At 38.3% G+C, this 25,840-nt stretch overlaps 1 long non-coding RNA gene across 2 annotated transcripts; it reads right to left on the minus strand.

The window, feature by feature from the left end:
* Positions 1-497: 497 nt before the first annotated feature.
* Positions 498-16,004, minus strand: LOC107985223 (uncharacterized). 2 transcript variants are annotated; one of them, XR_001738274.2, is made up of 3 exons: positions 13,228-16,004; positions 1,407-1,497; positions 498-1,043 (listed from the first exon to the last, which is right to left on the minus strand). It is a non-coding gene; the product is annotated as an uncharacterized LOC107985223 (long non-coding RNA). The 2 variants fall into 2 exon arrangements; XR_007066702.1 differs by lacking the exon at positions 13,228-16,004 and having other exon boundaries at positions 1,407-2,259.

Below are 25,840 nucleotides of genomic sequence, written 5' to 3' on the forward strand. Positions count from 1 at the left end.
TTAGGGGAAGAATTCAGAGGAGGAGGTGGAGATAGATGCAACTGATCATTTCCCTAAATTGCTTTTATATGCAACTGAATTATTTTTCTCACTCCAGGCCAGGAGCTGAAGCCATAACAGACTGTTAAAGTAGAATGTATAAAGGCTGAATGAGGTTAGTCATATTTTATTACCCTTCAGATGACACATTTTTACCCTATACTTGCTTTTACTAAGACTCCATTGACAGGCAGGACTCACAGAGAAAACGTTACGGGAAGGACGAACTCTTTCTCATTAATATCTGGAATTTAAGATTAGTAAAAAGGAAGAGTTAGAGTGGCTTTAGAGTTCCCCATTTTAGTTTACTGTTGGGAAGGAAAGGGTTCCCTTCTATCAAGCTCACTTAATGTATCCAATTTTTAGAGGGTTTTATGCTTTACAAATTAGTTTTGATTACTCAGCAAGAACTTAATGCTACCTTCCTTGGGTTAGGAACAAGACAGACTCTTGAAGGATTGGTATGAGATTGAATTTATTCTGACCATCTGAGTTTATAGAGAGAAAACTGTGGTTCAGAGTTGATAAAGGATTTGACAGAGTACTGCCTTTAGACCCAAGAAACAGAGGGAAGAGGTCTTTTGTTGATTCAAAGGGCTCCACTATGGCCCTTTTCTGACTATGTTCCTCTGGGAATGGAGAATCTACAAGGTAGAGAAGGGCCCAGCTGGAACCTTCTATTTTGACCAAGCCATGAGTACCTGGAACCCTGGATTTCTTGCCCAAATGGTCCAAATCCTGCCTCCAGGGCCTACATAGGTTTCTTCAAAGTGTCTGTCCTTCTGAAAGTGGATGTCGCTGTAGATATGCATACCCCTAGGCCCAAAAGGTGGCCAATAGGTAGCTGTTTGCAGCAGGTGGGTATCTGCTTGGACTTGTGATCTGGGTGTTCACCTGCATGCCCTCAAGACCCCTTGTAGTCCATGGAGAAGAAAAGGGGGACAGGCTTCAGGGTGGGGGTAATGGCTGGCTCACCCCACACCCTCGTAGTCCAAGGTAGTTTTCTGAGGAGTAGAAGAATTTTAAATTTAATTCTGAATTGTCAAGATAGGATAATAGAACATATTCTATCTAATAGTTTGTTGGCTGGATGTTTTGAAAGTTTTGGGTTTAAGACCCCTTTATACTCTTAAACATTATTGAAGACCCCCAAAGAGCTTGTATATATGTGGGTAATATTTCTTTATATTTATCACATTAAAAAGCAGAATTAAATATGTTAAGTATTTATAATTTATTTATTTAAAAAGCAGTTAAGAACTTATAGTTGATATAAATAACATATTCTTATGAAAGATACTATATTTTTCAATACAAAAAGTTAGAAAGAAGAGTGGTATTGTTTTACATTTTTGCAACTTCATCACCTGATTTAAAGAAAGACAGTGGGTTTTTCTGTCCACTTCAGCATTCAATCTGTTGTGATACGTAGTCTTAATTGACATATTTGAAGAAAATCTGGCTTCACGCAGATACATAGTTGGAAAAAGAAGAAATATTTTTATAGCCTTTTTACATAATTATGTATATTCTTTTTTTTGCTTCCACACCAATACTGACAAATAGTAATTTCTTAAAGATGTTTCCCAATGTAAATTCTGAAACCATGTGAAATAAATTTTAATACTTGTTACATTATGCATTAATTAGTTGTTTGGTAAATATTGGTTCACTAAGTTACACAGATCTCCCAAACATTGATATATTTCCTTACACAATATTTCTTAAACAGCTTTATTGAGGTATGATTGACATGTAAAAAGTGGTACATATTTAAAGTGTACAACTTGATAAGTATGCTCCCATGAAACTATCACCACAATCTGTGACATAAACCTATCCATTACCTGTAAAATTTCTCCCACCTTTTTATTTATTATTAGTATTTGCATGTGTGTGATAAGAACACAACATAAGATCCACCCTCAGCATCTTTTAAGTATAAAATATAATATTAACTATAGGCAGTATATGGTACAGTAGATCTCTAGGACTTACTCAATTTGTACATCAGGAACTTCGTACCTTTTGACTAATATCTCCCTATTTTCCCTTTCCTCTGTCTCCTGACAACCACCATTTTACTTTCTGCTTCTGTGAGTTTGACTATTTTAGATTCTTCGTGTAAGTGGCATCATGTAATATTTGTTCTTCTGTATCTGGCTTATTTTACTTAACATAATATCCTTCAGGTTCATCCAAGTTGCCACAAGTGGCAGGATTTTCTTCTTCTTTTTAAGGCTAAATATTGTATGTGGATACTATATTTTCTTTATCCATTATTCTGTCAATGAACAATTGGTTGATTCCATATCTTGGCTGTTGTGAATAATGCTGCAATGAACATGGCAATGAAGATATATCTTTAAGCTTCTGATTTCAATTCCTTTTGATATACACCCAGAAGTGGGATTGCTGGATCATGTAGTAGTTCTATGTTTAATTTTTTAAAGAAACCTCCATATTGCTTTCCATAATGGCTGTGCTAATTTACATTCCCACCAACAGTGTACAAGGATTCCTTTTCTCCACATCCTCATAAACATTTATTATCTTTTGTTTTTTGATAATAGCCATTCTACAAAGTGTGAGGGGATACCTCATTGTGGTTTCCAATTGCATTTCCCTGATGACTAGTGATGTTTAACACCTTTTCATGTACCTGTTAACCATTTGTATGTCCTCTGTGGGGAATGTCTATTCAGTTTGTTTTGTCCATTTTTTAAATTGGGTTATTATTAATATTATTTTGCTATTGAGTTGCATGAGTTTCTTATATATTTTGGTATTAACCCTTTATCAGATATGTGGTTTGCAAATATTTTCTCTCACTCTATAAGTTGCCTTTTTATATTGTTGATTTTTTTCCTTTGCTACGTAGAAGCTTTTTAGTTTAATGTAACTTGTCTATTTTTGCTTTTGTTGCTTGTGCTTTTGGTGTCATGTCCAATAAATCATTGCCAAGACCAATGTCAGGAAGGTTTTCCCTATGTTTTCTCTTAGGAGTTTTATAGTTTCAGGTTTTATGTTTAAGTCTTTAATCCATTTTGAATTGATTTTTGTTTATGTTGTAAGGTTGTAAAATAAGGGTTTAATTTAATTTTATTTTTTCATGCGGATACAATTTTCCCAACACCATTTATTGAAGAGACTACTCTTTTTCCAGTATGTGTTCTTGGCACTCTTCTCAGAATTCGTGTCTGTATATGTGTAGGTTAGTTTATTTCTGGGCTTTTTATTCTGTTCCACTGGTATATTTGCCTGTTTTTATGTCTGTATCATACTGTTTTGATTACTGTTGCTTTGTAATCTATATTGAAATAAGGAAGTATGATGCCTTGAGCTTTGTTCTTCTTGCTCAAAATGGCTTTGGCTATATAGGATCTTTAGTAGTTCCTTTGATAGTTCCTAAAATCCTATAAATTTTAGGATTGTTGTTTCTATTTCTGTAAAAACTAGCATTGGGATTTTGATAGGGATTGCATTAAATCTGTAGATCACTTTAGGTAGTATGGATATTTTAATAATATCAATTTATCCAATCCATGAACACAGGATATCTTTGCATGTATTTGTGTCTGCTTTAATGTCTTTCATCAGTGTTTTTTAGTTTTTAGTGTATAAGCCTTTCATGTCTGTATTAATTTTATTTCTAAGTATTTATTCTTTTTGATGCTATTATAAATGAAGTTGTTTTCTTAATTTCCTTTTTGAATAATTCATTGTTAGGCAGTACAATATTTTAAAAATCCATTAATTGTTAAGTACCAACACTGAAAGAAAAGAAAACACTAATATAACCACTCATCTCATCAGAAAAGTCATTCAGTATAGGGAAGCTGACAAGCTCATGGTAACAGATACAAGTTTTCTAAAATTTTATTTTTACTAACAGGTCCAATTTTATCTTAGGCAACAAATACTATCAGTTGTTTTCTTTGAAGTGATAGGTTCATTTCGTTCATATTTGAGAAAATTTCCAACAAATACTCAAGTCTGAATTGCTATAGTTTGTCTGTCAGTCCTTTTTTCAGGTAAAAATGTTTCTTAAAAATGGGGGATGAGGAGTAGGTCACCCACCACTCAAGCAATTGCACAAGTGCTTTTCCTCCAGATAACATTGTATTTTAGGCTGCAGCAAAGTGCTTTATGAGAAGTTTCCATTTCATCTTACAGTGTATTTAAAAGATCTTACAGAATATTTTAAATACAAGAACTCAAAGATTAAGATTTAATAAAATTAATTTTACTATTTACTGTTTTTACCAAGGAAAATTTTTAGAGAAACCTTTTTATTTCTTTTCTGTGAGTAAAGGATATGACTACAAGAACAATTTAGTGCCTCAATTCATGCAAAAATATCAGCACTTTTATACTATATTTCTTTGCAAGCAGCAGTAGCAGTTTAAATGTCAACAGAGTTAAAAAGGACTCAGGGACCCCTAGGAGTCTGTGGACCAGAGGCTGATTTAGACACATAATATGTGTGCTGCCATTTGTATTTTTGCCTTAAGCCATGAAAATAAATGTTAGGGTTTGAGCCTGTTGCCAAAGGTGGCTTACAGAAAGTCAAAATCAACATATACAATATAATTAAATATACATATTTTTACTAATGTGTGTATTGTATGCATTAATAAATTATATGTGTACACATATATTGTATGAACATATACAATATAATTAAATAATAAGGATGTACTTTGCCATAGTATTGGTTATAAGCACAACTGAATTTAAAGAATAGCAATATCAGTATGGACTGGAGTATTTGAGAGAAAGTTCAAGAATAAATGAAACTTTATCTGGATCTTTGTAAAGATGAACAGATTTAGAAAAGTGAAAGAGCAAAGGGAATGAGAGGAAGAAGATAACTTTTATACTACATATATTAAGATTTCCCATCCTGTTTTCTCTCCCAAATTTCAACACCCCATGAGTATTTCCACTCAATGATGTTCAGACAACTCAATCTCAATTTGTCCAGAAGTAAAATCAGCATCCAGGACAGTTCCTAGAATGCTTCCCCTGTGTGCCTACCTAAGATCACTCAAAGCTTTGTGACTGGCTCTTACTTCCCGTTCCCTCTATTTTCTCTCCTTACCCTCCTCACTAATAAGATGCTATTTCCAAATAAGGATCAGATGTATGTCATTTTCTTACTTGTTTTCTGGCTTCGACTCTTATTCTCTTACTGCGGTTCTACCAGAGATATCATTCTAAAGCATAAAACCTGAAGGTGAACAAGGAACAAGTCTCTCTTTCTTCCCTCCCTCCCTTCCTTCCTTCCTTCCTTCCTTCCTTTCTTCCTTCCTTTTATTTTCTTTTGATGGAGACTCACTCTGTTGCCCAGGCTGGAGTGCAATGGCATGATCTTGGCTCTCTGCAACCTCCGCAGCCCAAGTTGAAGCAATTCTCCTGCCTCAGCCTCCCAGGTAGCTGGGATTACAGGTGCACACCACCACGCCCAGCTAATTTTTGTATTTTTAGTAGAGACAGGGTTTTGCCATGTTGGCTAGGCTGGTCTCAAGCTCCTGACCTCAGGTGATCAGCCCACATCAGTCTCCAAAAGTGTTGGGATTACAGGCATGAGCCACCATGCCCAGCCCATGTTTCTTAGCCTGCTGTGTCTGTTAGACAAACCCTGTAGACTAACCTGCTGCTCTACTCTTGCCTCATGATCTAAATGGTTCACCACTCTCTGAATACACATGCAGTTCAATGCCTTTTGCCTTCCCGTGGAATGCTTTCTGTCTGAAACATTTTTCTATTTAGCTTACACATTTGGAAACATCTGACTGTGTTTTAGAACTCAATGCAAGAGTCACATCCTTGGAGGCAAATCACCGACCATTATCTGAGCCCTCAACTGTCCCACTCCTGTGGAACCTTATTAATTTTCTTGACTCCTTGCTCCAACTAGACTGTGTGGTCTTCTTGATTTGAATATGATATCTGATTGGTCTTTGTAATCCCAGTACTACAGTAAGTTCTCAGCAACATTTTTAAAAGTAAATAAATAGTATCAAGTTCTTTTCTGATTTTCATGGGGCTAAAGGCTAAAGGGGCATCAGAATATCTAAAGGGCATGGAGGAGAGGATGGAAAACAAAGTTGGGAGACTTTTTAATGTTGCCAAATTTCCCATGGGTGTGCCCTTTATTTTAAGTGGGAAGATAGAGGTTTCAGTCCCGGAGCCATGTAAAAATTGAGAAGCACTGCCTTGAGCCTTTTGATACATAACAGTAAACTGAATGGATTAAGAATTTATTATAACTTCATTTTTTAAAATATAGTTCACTTTGCTCAGAGAACACTTGGTATTGAGGCATTCTTATATGGATGGGGTGAAATTTGAGGACTGGGGAGTGATAGCAGATATTGAGATATATGGGGGGATATGCTTGATGGTCCAGGTTGATTTTTTAAAGTAAGATGTCAACTTCCCCTTAAGAAAGTTAATAAATTGTACAAAGAAGAATTAGTGATTAATTACACAGAATAAATGAGGTGAGAGTATATTTAGGGCAATAATGAAAGACAAATACCATGTTGCTAACTACCATCAAGTTCCGGGTTAGAGCCTAAGTTGAAGAATCAGTTTTGCATGATGCTGTTAAGTGTTAGTCCTAATTTTTAGATAGAGAAACAGGCTTAGAAGAGGAAGGGAACTTGTTAAAGGTCATGTGGTAAATTCATGGCAGCTCCAACACAGTCCAAATTCTTAGACTGGAGTCCATTCCAATGTGCTTTACTGTTCCCTTAGTCACTGCACTGTGCTTTCTGACAAGCTAGAGCCCCACGAGTCATGAAACAAACTACAGGATGTTCCTGAGGGCAATGTTTTTGTTTAGATGACAGCTTTGGAAACCAAAACAGAAAACCAACACAACAAAACAACAATGACATTCTAAAGGCACTACCTAGTGACAATGTGGCTACATTGTTTCAGATAATGATGATAATAAATTCTGCTTTTAATCTCCCCTGTGGGACCACTTCTTTAGGAATAAAAACACTTTGTAACACATTTTACATGGCTAAAAAAGCCAGGCTGACAGTCCTGCAAATATAGGACCACAGTTTATTCTATCAGACTCAGCTTTGTAAAGTATCACTTTAGTTGGACTGTCTCTAACACGATTTCCTTTAATTTCTCCAAACCTTGCACAGGTTCTGTTTGTCTCATTTCACAGACTGTAACACAAGTATAAAATTGGAGGTAGATTGTCCTTTGATCAGTGGTCCCAGCAAAAAGCTGTTAGTCCCAGGTCAGAGAGGCTTGACCTCTATAAGTAGGAAGCTATGACCTAGTCAGTTGTTGTGGGTTGAATTCTGCCCTCAAAAAAGATATGTTTAAGTCCTAAATCCCAGCATCTTGAATGTAACCTTATTTGGAATTAGGATCTTTGCAGGTGTAATCAAGTTAGATGAGATCACACCAGGTTAGGGTGGTCCCTTAGTTAATATGACTGGTGTCCTTATAAGAAGACAAAGATGTGGACACAGACACAGAAGGAGAATGCCATGTGACAGTGGAGGCAGAGATTGGAGCAATGCATCTACAAGCCAAGGAATGTCAAGGACTGCTGGCAACCATCAGAATCTAGAAAAGACAAGGAAGCATCTTCCTTTACAGGCTTTGGAGACAGCTTGGTCCAGTTGACACCTTGATTTGAGATTTCTAGCATTTCTAACTTTGAGAGAGTCAATTTCTGTTATTATAAGCCACCCCATATTTTGTTATGGCAGTCTTAGGGAATGAATACATCAGTATATTCTTATGAGCAGTTATTGGATGGGGATATATAGTTGATCCTTAGGCTGGGATAATCCTGCCTTTACTAAAAGGAAACTGAGAGCCAATAGGGCAAGCTCCCTGACACCTAGAAGACAACATTGAAGCTCCACACAAGGCCCTCTAAGGTGAAACTCCTATCTACCTGCTCTGCTTCTTGTCTTACCGATCCCTCGTGCTCTAGGCCCTTGGAGCATACTTCTTCCCATATAAGCCATGCCCTTTCACACCCCCAAGACATAGCACTCACTCTGCACTCTTCTCAGAAAAGCTGACCCTTCACTTGTGCACCTGAGGAGTGCCTGCCTACGTTTCATGTCTGAGGTTAAGCATCACAACTTTCATGAAAGCAACTTCCTCTGATTCCCTAGACAAATACCGTGTCTCCTATGTGCCCTCTGGAAAGATGTTATATCATTTTATGACGTTTCTTATTTTTCTGTCCACTATAGTAGTGTTTCTTGTGTGTTGACACCCACAAAGGGCTCTAATGAAAGAAAAAGGTTCAGATCCCTCCCAGGCATAGGCTTGTGTTCTACCTAAGTGAAGACCAGGTAGATTTCAGTGAACTGAATTCCATAAGTAGAGGGTACATGCAATATTATCCAGTGTCTGAGAATCCACAGCGTTTGTCTAAATCCATAGGTTTGTTCTCAACCTAAGCCATGTTGATATTTTGGACAGGAGAATTCTTTGTTGTGGGGGCTGTGGTGTGCATTGCAAGATGATTAGCAGCATCCCCGGCCTTGACCCGCTAGATGCCAGTAGCACTCCCCTGTTGTGACAAGCAAAAATGGCTCCAGACATTGCCAAATGCCTCCAGGAAAGCAGCAGTGAGACTCACCAGTTGAAATGAATAGATACAATTGTTAAAGAGCCATAGAGCATGCCAAAGCAAGGCAGGGGGAATGAGCTATTGGCCCTTTCATATCTTAAATATATAAGCCCTCCTTAAGTAAGGCGGTGTGGTATAATAGAAAGAATGGGCTTAGCCAGCCCAGAGTTTATACTCCAGCTCTGCTATTTAATAGCCATGTGATTCTAAGACTTTAACTTCTGTGAGTCTCAGTTCCTCATGTTTGTTATCATGAGGATGGACTAACTGATAAAATACCTGAAGTGCCTGACTAAAGGCCTGGCACATAGCAAGTGCTCGATAAATATCAGTGTTTTAAAAATTGTGTTGGGAGGGGATGCAGGATAAAGCCCAGGGAATTAGATAGTCTCTTTGGCAGCATGCTCCTGGGATGAATAAGCAATTCAAGGAGAGAGTTCTAGATTTCCGGGGCCCAGAGGATGGGGAGGGTAGCAGTGGCGCCTGATTGGGTGGGTCAGAATGCCAGGCATTAGAAATAGAAGCAAAAAAACCTTTCAGAAGCCTTGGGAAATGACAATCTGAGTCAGAGGGAATTGGAACAAGCAATATCGAGATGCATTTAAATTTAATTTAAAAAGAAAAAAACAAGGCGCAAGCAAATATTGTTCCCATACATGTACTCATAACCCCCGACAAGCGTAGTTTGAGTTTGTGCGTGTATCTTGCAGTCCCACATCTTCTTTTCTCATATTTGCACTTGAGTGGGAGTTTGCCATATGGTGCCACTTGCTAAAGGGCACGGGGGGCAGGAACTAATTAAAAATACTACCCCCACGAGACCCACATATCACATACACATGCATACACACAGAGACACAGACACAAACACGCACAAACTCATTGCTCTAGGGAGATTTGCTATATTAGGCAGAACCTGGGAGCACAAGGCACAACAATAAAATGGTAATCATTGGAAAATGACTGCATGAAACAACGCAGACTCACTGCTCTACTTACCTAATTACTCTGCCCTTTAGATATTTTTGTTTAAAGCTACTAACATAAGAGTGGCATTGTCATAGCAACCTTCTGTTGGATGTTGTTGGGTAGTCTCCGAGCAGATTAAATCACTCACAATTCTCATCAACAATGCTCTAGTGGGATAATTTCTAATAGCCCAGTGCATTTTCCCACTTGATCTTTCTATAATGTAGAGCGGAAACTGGATGGTCATTGTCAAAAGGTCCCTGTCATTTCTATGTTTGTCTCCAACAGGGTTTCTAAGAGGCCACATTTCGGGTAGCAGCTGTGATTTACTGGGAGGAGCACTGGAACTGGAGTCAGAAGATCTGGACCCTAATTTTACTAGCTCAGCGATTTTCAATAATCCCCAACTTAACTTCCCTGAATCTCAGATTCCTCAGCTGAAAAACAGGCTCAAGATTGTTTTCCATCCTCTTACCGCACTCCCAGCCCACAGCTTGCTGTGAAAGCTTCATGAGAACATGTGTGCGGAAGCACATGAGCACTGACTGTGCTAGGGCCTGGGTCGGGGCAGAGGAGGTAGCTTTCCTGACATTTATGCCAGTTTTCTGAGCTTATAAGACATGGCCCATGAATATTTTTTCTTTTCTTGGGATCTCTAAAGATCTCTCACTCCATTTTGTTTATAAGTTTCTGTAGAAGCCATTCATTCCTTCCCTGATTATTAAAAGCAGATGAAAGACTTCATATAGATTAAGAAAAATCCCCGGTTTGCTTTTTTGGATGAATAATCAAAGACTAATGTACTTCTTCTTCAAAGATCTCCAACAGCAAACTCATCTCCACTTCCTCCAAAGGAGGAAAAATAGACATATTTCCTTAATCAAAGTGTGGAATCATCTTGGAAATGGAATAAACATTGAAAATGGCAAGGGGCTATTGCTACTTGTCTCATGACATAAGCAGTCTCTCTCTTCGTAAGTTGGAAGGGCTTGGAATATAGCAGATGCTCAATAAATGCCTATTCTTTGGAGAAATAGCAGTGATTAGGGTCAGAGAAAGAAAGATAGGTGTCTAGATTAGCCGAGGGGAATGGAGTGCTTGAATAAAAGTAGAGTTTGAAAAAAAAAAGAGAGAGGCAACAAATTTCTCCCATTGTTAACACTTTCTCCTTTCATCGCACCTTTTACCCAGAATGACACAACAGAAAGACAAGGAATAAATAAGATAATACTGGAATTAATAACTTCTCTACCTCTGGGTTTGAGTAAGATACTAACTTTGCTTCTGGAATCATGACAGGATTTAAAATTGGAACTCATGATAGCATCAATGTCCAGATGAAACATTTGAGGTTTCTGTATCACATTCTGCTCACATTCTCAATGCTCCTTCTTTCCCTCTCTTTCTTTTCATGTCACTATTTATATAAATGTCTATTTTTGAGATTAGGAGCCCTATCTTCTTTGCCTTCAAAACAGCCATGAAACTTAGCACTGAACTTTTTAAATAGAATTAGGCCAGGAAATATAGTTAATAATAATCATGGTCACATTTTTCAATTACCTGACATTTAAAGTGAAAAACATCCTAGCTTCAAGACTTATTACCAAATATCTTTCTAAAATGCATTAGTCCATTTCTGCCTTAAGATGGAAAATGTGGAAAGCATAATTGAATCTCTGGTGACTCAGTAGCTTGAAGGAACATTAGCATGAATGTGAATTCTCACTTGTCAGTGCAATAGGGTCCTCAGAGGTAGGGTGAAGGGCTCAGAGATAGAGCTTGGGCCAACTATATGCTGATTTTAGATCCCTCTCTGGGTTTTAAAAAATAGGTCTCTGATGGAAATATTTTTCCCCATGACCTGCCTTTTTCTCCCAAAAGTTGAATACTGCTTCAACAGTACAACAACAACAAAAAAATAAGGTATATAGAGTTCAGCAAATACAGGCTTTACCTGCTCCCTTTCTTCTTCCAGCAAATGAAGTGCAGTCATTTCTGTTTCTCTCTTGTATCCAAATAGTGAAGTCCCTATGCCACATACTGTAACACCTACTGAGACCTGGTAGGACAAACCTACACAGAGTATCCTGAGATGTACTGTCAGTCTTTATTCATTCTACTCAGCTTCTGATTAAGCTTCCTAAAACAGACCTCAGTGATTCCCCCTCTATTTTATTGGGACAGAAAAGATATTTCTTAACAGGTGAGTCCTCTTATCTGCTCCTACCCCAAACTTAGTCCTTTGAAAAGAGTTCTGCCCTAGCCATTGTAGTTCTCAGGCTTTTGCGAAGCAAAACCAGATGACAAGTGCCTCAACTGGTCAAAGAAGAAGAAGGAGCATGGGAAAGAAAATATCAAGGTTTTTGAGACAGCTAGGTTTCTAGAGAGGAAATAAGTGGAATAGAGGAAGAGTTCAAAGTTGCTGAAGATGTAAGATAAGTGGATAGGAGAGAAAGGAGCTCTCTAATAAATGCAGCTGTTGGTTATAAACTGGATAATGTTCAAGATTTGAATTTTCAATAATTTTTTCCTTGATTTTCTGAGGATATTTAAAAGTGGCACCAAGAGGGGCCCTAGGATTAAAGTTTTATGTATATATAGTTATCATTATATACATACAGTTATATAGATAGATACCTATCTATATGTGTGAATATATATATGGTTAGAGATCCATCTTTGTGTGTGTGTGTATATATGTATATGTGTATATGTGCATGTGTGTATATATATATGTGTGTATATATATATATATATGCTCTATTTCTTGAAATCCTAGTCATACTTTAAGGACTACTTAAAATGACACACCTATAAAATCCTTTCTGTTGTTTTCTAAATGGATATTATCTCAATCTCTCTCTTTCTCTTGCTCCATTGAACACCCTTAGCATTTTGTACCTATCCATTTATGACACTCACCTGATACTATTCTGTATTGTATTATTTTATTTATTGTTGTTTATTTATTTATTTGAGACAGAGTCTCATTCTGTTACCCAGGCTGGAGTGCGATTGTGTGATCTCGGTTCACTGCAACCTTCGCCACCCAGGTTCAAGCAATTCTCCTCAGTCTTCCGAGTAGCTGGGATTACAGGCATGCACCATTATGCCTGGCTAATTTTTGTATTGTTTTAGCAGAGATTGGGTTTCATCATGTTGGCCAGGATGGTCTTGAACTCCTGACCTCAGGTGATCCACCCGCCTCGGCCTCCAAAAGTGCTGGTATTACAAGCATGAGCCACCGTGCCCAGCCTGTATTGTGTTATGTTTAACTTTACTTGCTACTTCTTCCTGTCATAAGACTGTAAAGTGCTTTGGAGGACAGATTGCAACTGCTCATCTGTGTAGTCTGCACTATAAAACTATTGAATTGAATTTAGTTAAAATGGGCAAAGGTAAATTCTGATACAGTGTGGGTGTTTTGCAGGCTCTCTCAAACTAGCTTCTCATCTCGTATTCCCTCAGTAAATAGTACCTCCACCCATTCAACTGCTCAAGTTTGAAATGTAGGATAATGTTTTGATGCCTCCTTTTCTCTCAGTTTCCAAACACAATAGATCAAAAATACAGATTGATTTTACCTCCAAAATATTTCTTTGATCCAACTAGTTTTCCCCATTCCCATTGTCATTATTCTAGTCCATGATCCACACGTATTCTCCTGCAAAGGACCAGACAGGGAATATTTTAGGGGTTCAGGACCACATATGGGCTCTGTTACATATTCTTCATTTTTGTTATTATTGTTTTAACAAGTGTCTTAGTCAATTTAGGCTGCTACAACAAAGTACCAGAGAATGGGTGGCTTATAAACAACCACAATTTATTTTGTACAGTTCTGGAGGACGATAGTTCAAGATCAGGGTGCCAGCATGGGCAGTTCTGATGAGGACCTTCTTCTGGGTTGCAGCTTCCCAGTTTCTCCTTGTATCCTTATATGGTGGAAAGAGGGTGAGAATCCCTTCTGGGATTTCTTCTGTAAGGGCACTAATCCCATTAATAAAGGTCCCATCATCATGTCCCATTACCTCCAAAAGGCCCTTCCTCCTAATAGCATCACACTGGGGGCTAGGGCTTCAACATATGAATTTAGAAGAGGCAGGTCACAAGCATTCAGTACATTGCAACAGCCCTTTAAAAATGAAAAATTTTTCTTTGTCTTTGGGCCATACAGAAACAGGCTGTAGGCTGTGGTTTGCCGACCCCTGCTTCAGTCTGAGCCACCCTAGTCCCGCACCAGACCAATGCATCACTTTCTATCTGCTCTCCCCTCTTCTATGCTACCCTGCAATTAATGTTCCAGAATGATGTTTTAAACATGCAAATCTGATCCTTTTGTCTCTCTGTTTAAAGTCTTACGGTGGCTCTTTACTCTTAAGGAAAGATGAAAATCCTTAGCACAGTCAACTGGGCTCTTCATAGGTGGCTTCTTCCTTCATCTGTCACTACATTAATTATTAATTGCTCCTTTCTTTGACTCTGACATTTTCAGTCTTGCCTGCTAACTTTTGAATATGATATTTCTTCTACCTGGAAAATCCTGCCTCTTCCATCCTTTTGCCTATTAATGTTTACTATTCTTTCAAACTTCAACACAACTGTAATGGTAATTGATTAGATTCATTTATTATGTATTCCCATTGAGCCCTTGTCATTACATTGGATTCCAGAGAAGCAGACCTTGAGAGGAGGATTCATGTGCAAGTGCCCGCAGGAGAAACCATAAAGAAGTGCGTGTGAAGAGTAAGCGTAGGGAAGCCCAGTGTGTTCTTCTGGATCCTCTGAGGAGCAGATGCCTAGATGGAATTAAGCATCTGAGGATTTTATCAGGGAAATACCTATAAAAGTAAATTGGCAGAGGGTAATCAGGATGGGCTGGAAAAGCCATAAGGCTGTGATACAGGTCTGAGCCCATGTGAAGGAAGAAGGCAATGAAGGGTCGTGGGAGCATCCTAGACCCCTCTTCAGTCTAAGAAAAATTGGCTGAGGCTGTCAAATAGTTGTTGAGCCAAAGTTACCTGTCATGGGAATCCTAGGCCTCCTGGGAATGGGCCTGTCTTAGTGTCCCTGCCACGCTCAGTTGTTGGCTGGGAACAGCCTGGGGGAAGTGCAGCCCTGAGACAAACTCAGTGATGGAGTTCAGAAGCAGCAGCTGGGGCCATCAGTCAATTATGCTCTTTATAGCTGGAGGTCGGTGAGGTGCATTCTTAATGGCCACAACATCCAGCAAGGGTTCAGTCATCAAAGGCTCATGCTCAGCCTAATCAAGAGAACTCTGTAGTGTAAATGCTGCCCCTAACTTTGTTTTTCCAGAAGGCAAGGAGGCTGGGATTTTAGACTCTCCTACCAATCATTGGATAGGGGCACTTAAACTCCTAGGCAACTCCCACTTTCTATGCTTGCAGGCAATCCACTCCAGTGTTCTGAAGGCAGCCGTCCAGAAAATGATCAAGTGCAGTCAATTGGAAGCAAAGGCCCTCAGAAGCTGGGAGAGAAGTTCACAGAAACAATTCAAAGGTTTCAAAAGAATCTTGTCACAGCACCAATAGTGTCCAGTACAATTCTGTTCCTCCTCTTTTGTTTTCAACACCCTTGAAATGATGTGTTACTTAATATCTGTATTTTGTGCTACATTAGAATCTCCATGAGATTAGGGATTATATCTGTCTTGTTCCCTGGGACTAACATAATACCTGAAACAGCAGAAACTCAATAGCTGTTGAATTCTTCATAGAACTAACCAGAAACCTGCTTTGATTATACAGACTAAATTGAAGCAATTTTGCCATCGATTGGAAAATTAATAAACTAAAAAAGACTTATGAGCAAAGGCACCCTCAGCCTTACTATGTCTGTCTAATCCTTGTGCTATCAGGCTTCCCCAGGCCTTTTCACTCTTGAATGCTGGTAATAATATTTGGAGTTCAGGTAATGCAGCTGGAGCTTTATTCCATTTACTGCATTCTCACTGCTTCTAGCATCCTCTTAAGGCAATCAAGAGTCAAATAAGCTGTCACTTCCTGTATTTCCATCTATGGCCACAACAGTTGACTCTCCAATACTGATATACTGAAAGAACCGACCTTAAGAAATCACTTATCTCATTTGTTCTCCACCTCTTCAGATGTTTTTGGCTGCTGGGTCAGTTAAGGGCATTAGAGAACGGTTGCTTCATAGTCACTCCATTATTCCCTCTGATAGTCAGTCTGCTTTATGATGAAATGAAGAGAAACTGGATTTATAAGTCAAATAATCTCCTTTCAAGTTTTTATCCTGTCACTTGCTAGTTGTGTGATTTGGGACAAATCATTTAACTCCTTGTAAAGGGAGAGAAGGAAGGCTGTAAAAAAATTAAGTAATAAAAAGATAAACTCCTTGTGGTATATTTTGTTATTGTTCAAAAATATTTATTGCCCCTCTTAGGATGTCTTAGGTCATTCTTGCATTGCTATAAAGAAATACCCAAGTCTGGGTAATTTATAAAGAATAGAGGTTAAATTGGCTCACAGTTCTGCAGGCTGCACAGGAAGCATCCCACTGGCGTCTACTCACTTCTGGTGAGGACTCAGAAAGCTTTTGCTTATGACAGCAGGCTAAGTGAGAGCAGGTGTCTCACATGGCAGAGGGGGAGCAAGAGAGAGAGCGAGTGGGAGGTTCCACACATTTTTAAACAATCAGATCTCATGGGAACTCACTCATCAAGAAGGGGATGGTGCTAAGTCATTCATGAGAGATCCACCCCCTTGATCCAAACATCTCCCACCAGGCCCCACCTCCAATGCTGGGGATTACATTTCAACACGGGATTCGGTGGGGACACAAATCCAAACCATATCGTAGGGGAAAGATTGTATTTACATGCATTTTTGACATCAAGTTTGCCCAATGAAATATATAATGAAATATAAGTAGAACTAATGTTTGTTCCTTCTAAACAGAAGCTTTCAGAGACAATGCATATTGCACTATGCTTTCTCTTTGTCTCTGCTATGAGTATCAGCCATGTTTCAGACAGAGGCTGTTCCAATAACCTGGACTCTGCAGCAAAGACAACAATGAACAACACAGTCATATTTGATATAAAAGGACATGCAACGAACAAGAAATGAGCCTTTGTTCTTTCAAGTGTACTGTGATTTGGGGGTTGTTTGTTACTGCAATTTAAGCTAGTTTGTCCTGATTGATACACATTTCTTAGTTTTCTCCTCTGTAAAACATATGTTAAAATAATTCTTAATCTTCAAATTTGTTCATTCAGCAACTCTTTAGCTTGATCTTACTAAATTCAAGATACATGCTAGAAACCAGTAGGTTCCACAAAATTGAAATGGTGTCAGCCTCTTGTTATCGATAAGTTTATAAAATAATAAAAAGAACAGTAGTATATACATAATTAAATATATGTCAGAAATTTCTCAATACTACCAGATAGGAAGTGATAAAAATACTTTGGAAAATTAAAAGAAAGAGGTCCCTTTTTAACTGATAGCTTCAGAAACTCTTCCTTTAGGAGTATTGAGTTTGAAGGTTGGACAGCACCAAACTTGGGAAGCTAAAGTGGAGGAGGTTTTTCCTCCTAGTAGAAATGACTTGGGTATCAGGAAGCACAGATCATTTAAAGAGAAAAATATTTTAGTGATTTTAGTGTTTGTGAAGGGAGTAGAAATTAATATAGAATAGTACTTGGATGTCATGTGTTGAATAGTCTTAGCTAAGAAATTTGAACTTTATTTTATAGAAACTTAGTATTACTAACTTTTTGAGGCAGAGTATGACAGTAGTTTGTTAAATTAATTAGAAAGAGAGAAGTTAACATGGAAGCCCATTTAGAATATTATTGCTGTTTTGTAGACTAGCAGTCAGCATTTTTTTTTTGTAAAAGGCCAGAAAGTAAATATTTTAGGCTTTGTGAGTCATATAGCCTGTGTTGCAACTTCTCTACTCTGCCATCATAGCATGAAAGCAGACATAGACAAAAATAAAATAAATTAGCATAATTGTGTTCCAATAAAACTTTAGGGCTTTCATAGAATGTCCTGAAGGAATGGAAAACTCCCCTTGCCTTCCTTCCCTCCAGAGGCTTCATGTCACTCTGTACTATGCACTAATATTCTGCATGAAGACTTCCTTTAAAACAGGGTCATTTCTGCTTAAAAGAGAAATGATGACATCTGTTCCAGGGGAGAAAGTCTAAAAAGTAAAGAGAATCTAAACTAGGGCAGTGAAGGATGGAGAGGAGGAACAGAGTGAGAAATATTGATAGAGGGTGGATTTACGGGAATAAAGAACACTAAAGGCAGAGTAGCTTTGAGAGGGGAAAATTATTTCAATTCTGAACATATTGAGTTTGATGTGAAAGGCAAATGAGATAATGTAGTAAAAGGTGCTTCACAAACTGAGAAGTGAAATGGAAGGGTTGTTTTAAAAGGAAATGGCTGAAACAATTTTATGACTCAACACAAACCCAATCAACACTCCTGCAAAAACAATCAAAGCCCATGAGCTATATAGATTGTGGGACAGTCCTATTCAATTTCTAGGTCAACATCATGGCATTATGATATTATTTTTATCTCTACTATTTCCTTTGAAATGAAGGGCAGCTGTTCCAATAGACTGATGTAGGTGAATACATTTACCTGTTTACTCATGAGCCTAGATAGAACTGCTAAAAGAGTTGCAAAGCTATTTGTCTGCAAATCTTTAGTGGGTGAGATATTTAGTTCAGGAGTGAGGGATAAAATTTGATAAGCCCTCCTCAGCTTGGTTCTCCTTATTAGTTTTTTTTTTTTAGTGTTTCTTTAAAACTTGACCTTTATAGAAACAGATAAGATTACTTCTTCGTACCTTAATTATCAAGTCAAATGATAAGTTAAAAAAATGCAGCTTTTAAAGGTTTGTACTCGCGATAGTTTGCTGAGAATGATGGTTTCCAGCTTCATCCATGTCCCTACAAATGACATGAACTCATCATTTTTTATGGCTGCATACTCTCACAAGGACAAAAAACCAAACACCGCATGTTCTCACTCATAGGTGGGAATTGAACAATGAGAACACATGGACACAGGAAGGGGAACATCACACACCGGGGCCTGTTGTGGGGTGGGGGGAGTGGGGAGGGATAGCATTTGGAGACATACCTAATGTTAAATGACGAGTTACTGGGTGCAGCACACCAACATGGTATATGTATACATGTGTAACTAACCTGCACATTGTGCACATGTACCCTAAAACGTAAAGTATAATAAAAAAAATAAAATTTAAAAAATAATAAAAAAAAATAAAATAGAAGTTTGTACTCATAGGAATTCATTTACTGGGAGGAACTACTGTATGCATTTGTAAAACTTAAAGAATTGTCCTTTCCTTATTATCTTGCCTTACTTTAACTTTTTAGTTATATTAATGCCAGTTGAAGACTGAAGATTAAAGTCATTAGATAATTCACTGACACCAGAGACATTGACTCCATCATCTTGCTTCCCTGAAAGGAAGGAAGCAATGTACACATGCTAACCATTGTTAGAACGAGCAAGCTCATGAGATAGGAAACTTCTAATAACTTATTATGGCAAGGAAAAGAAGCAAAACCAGCAACAAGTAGCATTACATGGTGGTTAAGAGCCTGGCCTCTGGAGCCAAGCAGGCTGAGCTTGCCCTGTTATTTCTTAGCTATGTAACTGTTAAGCAAATCACTTAACTTCTTTGTGCCTCAGGTTCATCATTTGTTAAGTAAGAAAATAATACCTGGCCAGGTGCGGTAGCTCACGCCTGTAATCCCAGCACTTTGGGAGGCCGAGGCGGGTGAACCATTTGCGGTCAGGAGTTCAAGACCAGCCTGAGCAACATGGTGAAACCCCATCTCTACTAAAAATACAAAATTAGACAGGCATGGTGATACACGCCTGTAATCCCAGCTACTTCGGAGGCCGAGGCAGGAGAATCACTTGAACCTGCTGGGGGTGGAGGTTGCGGGGAGCAAGATCATGCCATTGCACTCCAGCCCAGGCAACAAGAGCGAAATGTCATCTCAGAAAAAAAAAAAGGCATTTTATATATATATATATATATATATACACACACACACACATATATATATACACATATATATACACATATATACATATATACACATATATACACATATATATACACATACATATGTACACATATATATACACATATGTATACACATATATACACATATATACACACATATATACACATATATACACACATATATACACATATATACACATATATACACATATACACATATATACACATATATACATATATACACATATATATAATATACACACATATATATACACATATATACACACATATATACACATATATACACATATATATACACATATATACACATATATACATATATACACATATATATACATATATACACATATATACATATATACACATATATACATATATACACACATATATACACATACATATACACACACATAGATATACATATATATACACATATATATACGTATATATATGTATATATATATGCTCCAGAGTTCATAAGAGGTAGCAGTTGATTACCACTGGGGATAGAGGAAAAGAGAGTTTGACAGCAGTGTATTGTGAGAAGGACATTTCAGGTTGATGGCAAATAGTAGGGGAAATACATAAATGTGTAATAAAACCTATCTGTAAGGTAGTTAAGAAGGTAACACTATATATATATATAGTGAAAGCAGTGTAAACCTAAAGGATGGGCCAAGGATTTAAATGTTATAGAAGAATGGCTAAGATGCCAAAGCTCAGTGTATGTGGCAGAGGCATGGTGGAGGGTGTGTCCAGGTTCATATATTGCATTAAGTGTGAGAAACCCTGGAGTATGAACCAAGAAAATGCAAAAGCCAGAAGTGATGGAGGAAATGAGACACAATAATGAAGATATTGAGAGGAGGGTGTGGGCCTAGAGTGAAGCTTTTCGTGCCAGTACTTCTTTTGAAGGCCCAGTTCTCTTCTCTCTCGGGGGCTCCTTCATCTCTCATAGAGTCCACAGCTTTTAAGGGCCAACACTTGAGGTCAGCCTGGCTCTCTCATTTGAGCTGGATAGAACATTTTAGAGCACCATCTATTCTTCAAGAGGAAGTTTAAAAATAAAAGAACCTTGAAGAGGAAAAAATGTAGACATTCAATCTAACCTTTTCATTTTACTAGCCAAAGCTAAATAGAATGCAGGTTACCTGTTTTTCAGCCAGGCACCATCATTTCCTAATTGTTATAAAATTTATTATTATTGTTGTTATTATTATTATTTGCCATAAGAAGTTTCCCATATCCTTTTAGTATAACAAAAACACAATTCACAAGCATTATAAAACCCATGGTGTCTAACTATTAAAAAAATTAAGTGGAACACACTTGTCCCAGCTACTGGGGAGGCTGAGGAGGGAGGATCACGTGATCCCAGGGGGTCAAGGTTATGGAGAGCTATGATTGTGCCACTGCACTCCAGCCTGGGTGACAGGGAAAGACCCTGTCTCTAAAATTTTTTTTAAAAAAACTAAACTGGTTTTATTACAGAGATTCTGGAGACAGCTACACATAAAAGGGTGGTATGCCTCATATTAGCTACCCAGGGAGGTGGAATGCCAACTTAGGTGGTGTCACCACTATTAAAAATGCCCCAAAGCAATCAAAACTGAGAACTTCCTGGGAGCTTAGCATTGTGCAAAAGCAGCACAAAACACTTAAACAATTCACAGTTGTGTTGGAATGGGAAGGCCTGGAAATATAAACCAAAGAGTATATTGTCTAAATTGATAGAGATTACAATTGCCTGAAAGAAAAAGTTGACTTTTAACTAGAATGTTCAGAGTAGGTTTACAGAAGAAGCTCTTAAACTGGGCTCCAGTGGATTTGTCAATGCTTTGGAAGCTGGTGGGGTGGGAGGGTTGGAGGGGGCATAAAAAGTCATGTTGGTATGCTCTGCTCAAGTCTCCATTCTGTTTCCTTTTCCTCTTTTCAATGTCATGTCCCATTATTTCATTATGGGCTTCCCTTTATCCAGGATCAATATGCCACCTCTTGGTTGTCTTTTACCTACTTCTCCACCTCACTATGGAATCGTCCTTGGGTAGCTCCTGTGCTTGGGAACCTGCACGGGCACTTTTCTGATGTCTTGATTCCAGCTTTACTCCTAAAACTTAAATGCTGAGGGGCCAACACCATGGCAGTGGTAGGGATGGGAATGGGGGTCTTGTAACACACTACATAAACTACACGAAATAAACTACATGAAACTCAACATGTTTGCAAGACTCAGTTCACATCCATGAGGAGCTCATGCTTCTCCCTCCTGCTCCCCTAGCACACATGATTATCTCTATTTGGAAATGTTTGGCATTTTTGGTGAAGTGAATGGTTCAATAACTTTCTCCACCATCAGAACAAAAGCTCTTTAAGGTTAGGGATGGGATCATACACACTTCCCTTGTCCAAGTCCCCATCACCCCTTATCTAGACAATTGCTACAGTTTCCTACACACTCTTCTAACCTCTTGCAGTCTATTTTCATAAAACAGCTAGAGAACTTTGAGATGTAAGTCAAAAAATAGAACATGTCGCTCTTTCCCATTGTTTTTGAAATAAAGTTCAACCCCCTTACCAGGGTCAACAAGGCCCTGCAATGATTTGGTCCTGTTAAAAATTCTTTAGCCTTAACTCATGCTGTTCTTCCTTACACTCACTGCATTCTAGCCATTGAGGTTTCTATGCATCAAACTTTTTTTGGTCCCAGCACTGTGCACATCCTTCTGGGTAGAATGCCCCTTGATTTGTATAATTAGCACCTCCTTCATCATTTAGGTCTTAGTATAACTACTACCTTCTTAGAGAAGCTCTGCTTCTTCATCCTATAAAAAAGTAAAATTCCTTACCCTGTTATTTTTTAAGTCATCCGTGTTTCATTCTGTTAAAGTTCTTATCACAATTTATCATTATTTTATTTACAGTCATGTGCCACATAACAATGTTTCAGTCAGGGATAGAACACAAATGTATCTGGCCCCATAATATTATAAGCTGAGAAATTTCTATTAACTAGTGATATCGCAGCCATCATAAGTGTAATGCAGGACATTACCTTTTCTATGTTTAGATATGTTAGATACACAAATATATTTCATTGTGTTATAATTTCCTACAGTATTCAGTACAGTAACATGCTGTACAGGTTTGTAACCTAGGAGTAATAGGCTATACCATACAGCTTAGGTGTGTAGTAGGCTATAACCATCTAGGTTTGTGTAAGTACATTCTATGATATTCCCACAATGATGAAATCACCTAACTACACATTTCTCAGAATGTTTCACTGTTGTGAAGTGACCCATGACTATATTTTCCTATATACTTGATATTTTTGTGCATCTGCCCATGAGAATGTAGTGTAAGATCAAAGGATGCAAGAATGGGTTCTATCCAGTATAGTACCCACTACACTGGTGGATGTCAATATGTATTTGTTAGATTAATATCTCAAGAATGAGCACCTTTCTCAGACACATAAAAGATGCTCAATATAAAAGTTTGTTGAACTGAACGTTATTGGCAAATGTAACATGATCGGATTTAAAGAGGAGCGAAACAGAGGTCTGGCTCAAACACCATACTTCTAGAGTGCATAAGAGGTAGCAGTTGATTACCACTGGCGACAGGAGAAAAAAGAGCTTGACCGCAGGGTACTGTGAAGACATTTCAGGTTGATGGCACAGAACAGGGGAAATACATAAATGTGTGGGAATATTCAGTGGTCTGGGATGACTACATAGTAGAATATAATGAAGAAAAGAGTGGAAGGGAAAGATGAAAAGTTGGAATGGGGATGAATTATGAAAGTACCAGAATGTTATGCTAAGGAATCTAGATTTTAAAATGTGAGGGCAAATTGAAGTCCTGGGCACGTTACAAAACTAGAGGTCATAAAGTTTACCCTAATTTACCAAGATTTCCTAGAGGATCTAGAATTGGAATCCAGATCTGCCTCTCTGTAAAGTTCAAGCACTTTCCATGACACCATACTGTTTCTTTCCACCTGCACAATGCAAATGAACTCTTATGAAACTGCTGTTTCTATCCTGGGCTAAATGTTGCAGAAAAAAGATTTAATCTTTGGGATAAGGCTATTTTGGGTTTTCTCCTACTTCTTGGGAAACAAGGTTTTCTTCCCCTGGCTAATTAAGTGTGGTATTGTTCTTCCAGGGAAATCAGTGATGCATCACCTGCTGCTATCAAATGTCAGGGTTGGAGTTCCTGATTTATTGCATGTGCCCACAAAGCTTGGTGCAAAGAATTGGACACATTTCCCAAAAGTAAGACATACTGGGAAGTCCCTGTTTACCTTCCTGGTATACAGCATCCTCCAGCCCCATATCTTTGCTTTTTAGTCCTAAAAATCAATAACTGAACTCTCATTGATGTCTAGGCCATTGTAGTAAACAATAAAGAAGGAGGGAGGCTTCTGACAACTGAGAGGAAATTGTCATCTGAAGTGGTGCAAGCACAGCCTGGGGCTGAGCCTTGGCCTACATCCTGCCCAAGTGGAGGATCAGTGCCCCATTTAACATCTGGTAGAACTAAAGAACGCAACGCCTGCCACAATGACTTATTTCCCTGCATTTGATACCGTCAATCCTTGAGAAATGTTTTCTTTTGTTCTCCCTGAGCAAAGGTTGGAAAAATTTGAAATTTACCTAGAGACCACACATAGTTCACATCCTGCTGTGTGGCTGAATGTCTGCCCCCCAGTAGGAAACAGTTCTTCTAAAGCCTATTGTCAACAATACCTTCCAGATGTTAGCATTTTACAATTTAAGGAACTTAAAATAGCCTTCAAACTTTTTGCCAGTTTCTCTGATATCCAATCTATTCTTTTACTCTGCCTCCCAAGCTTTCTTTCTAGAATGCTAACCTGATCGGCTTAAGTACTTGAACTACCTCTTCTCCTCCATTAACTACAGAGTAAATTCTGGTCTTCAGAGTAACAAGAAACACCCTTTAGTTCTCAGCATATTCGTGCACCTTCATTTATCTCTCCTTCTCTCTCAAAGCTGCAGTAGGGGTGAAAACGTGTGATACATTTTCTCTTCCATCATAAGGGTCGCAACCAAAACTCCTATAGTAAAAGACAGGTTAATAAGAGCAAAACCTAACAAATTTATTTAATCAAAGTTTTACATGACATGGGAGTCTTCAGAAATGAAGACCCAAAGACCCAGGGGAAACTGTCTGTTTTTTTTGCTGAGGTTCGATGAAGAATGGATAGCATGTAGCCATGTAGATTAGACAAAAGGATATGATCTAGTGGTAAAGGACTCAGGGGGAAACACAGCAAGGCCTGTCTATTCAGATTCTTCTTGATCTCTCTCTCTCTATGTATAGCATTCTTTCCTCCTGAGTATGGGGCAGGACTCTTCTTCAATGAGGGTCTTCAAGGGAGAAGGGAGAAAGTGGCCTTTTTAGATTTTATGGCTTGCTTCGGGGAAGAGGAGTTCTAGTTTCTATGACCCATCTTGGGGAAGAGGAATTCTGGTTTCTGTGACTTGCTTTCATGAAGAAAGAGGAGTAAGAGGCAGGAGGGCAGGAGATGGTCAGAAAGAGACTTGGCTGCTTCTGAGGGCTTCCGCTCTCCTTTAGTTCCAAGTACTTCTTAGCATACCAAAGCACTATACTTTGGCATATGGTTTTCTGAGCTCTAACACTGCAATCATGCTAAACTCCTCTATGACCTTCAAACATTCCACTTGCTTTTATTCTTTATGGTTGTGATGGCATAGAGGTCAATAGCAAAGACCCTGGAGTCCCACTGTCTGAGCTGGCATAACATTACTACCACTTAATCAATGTGTAAGCTCAGGTAAGTACTTAAGTCCTCTATGCTTCATCTGTAAAATGAGAATCATTGAAGAACATTCTCTCAGGATGGATCATGAGGAATAAGTGAATTAACTGGCATATAGTGCTTAAACCAGTGCCTTGCTCAGTTAGTGACAGATAAAATCATCTGTTATTACTGTGCCCACTATTGTGATGCTCTTCTCTTCTTTGTACAACGACTACATCTCTATTTATCATTTTAGGGTCTCCTTGTGAAAAACCACTCCAGATTCAAAAGATTGAGTTTAATCTCTATCCTCTGTG

The sequence above is a fragment of the Homo sapiens genome, chromosome 1, assembly GCF_000001405.40.
Source record: "Homo sapiens chromosome 1, GRCh38.p14 Primary Assembly".
Classification (NCBI taxonomy): Eukaryota; Metazoa; Chordata; class Mammalia; order Primates; family Hominidae; genus Homo; species Homo sapiens.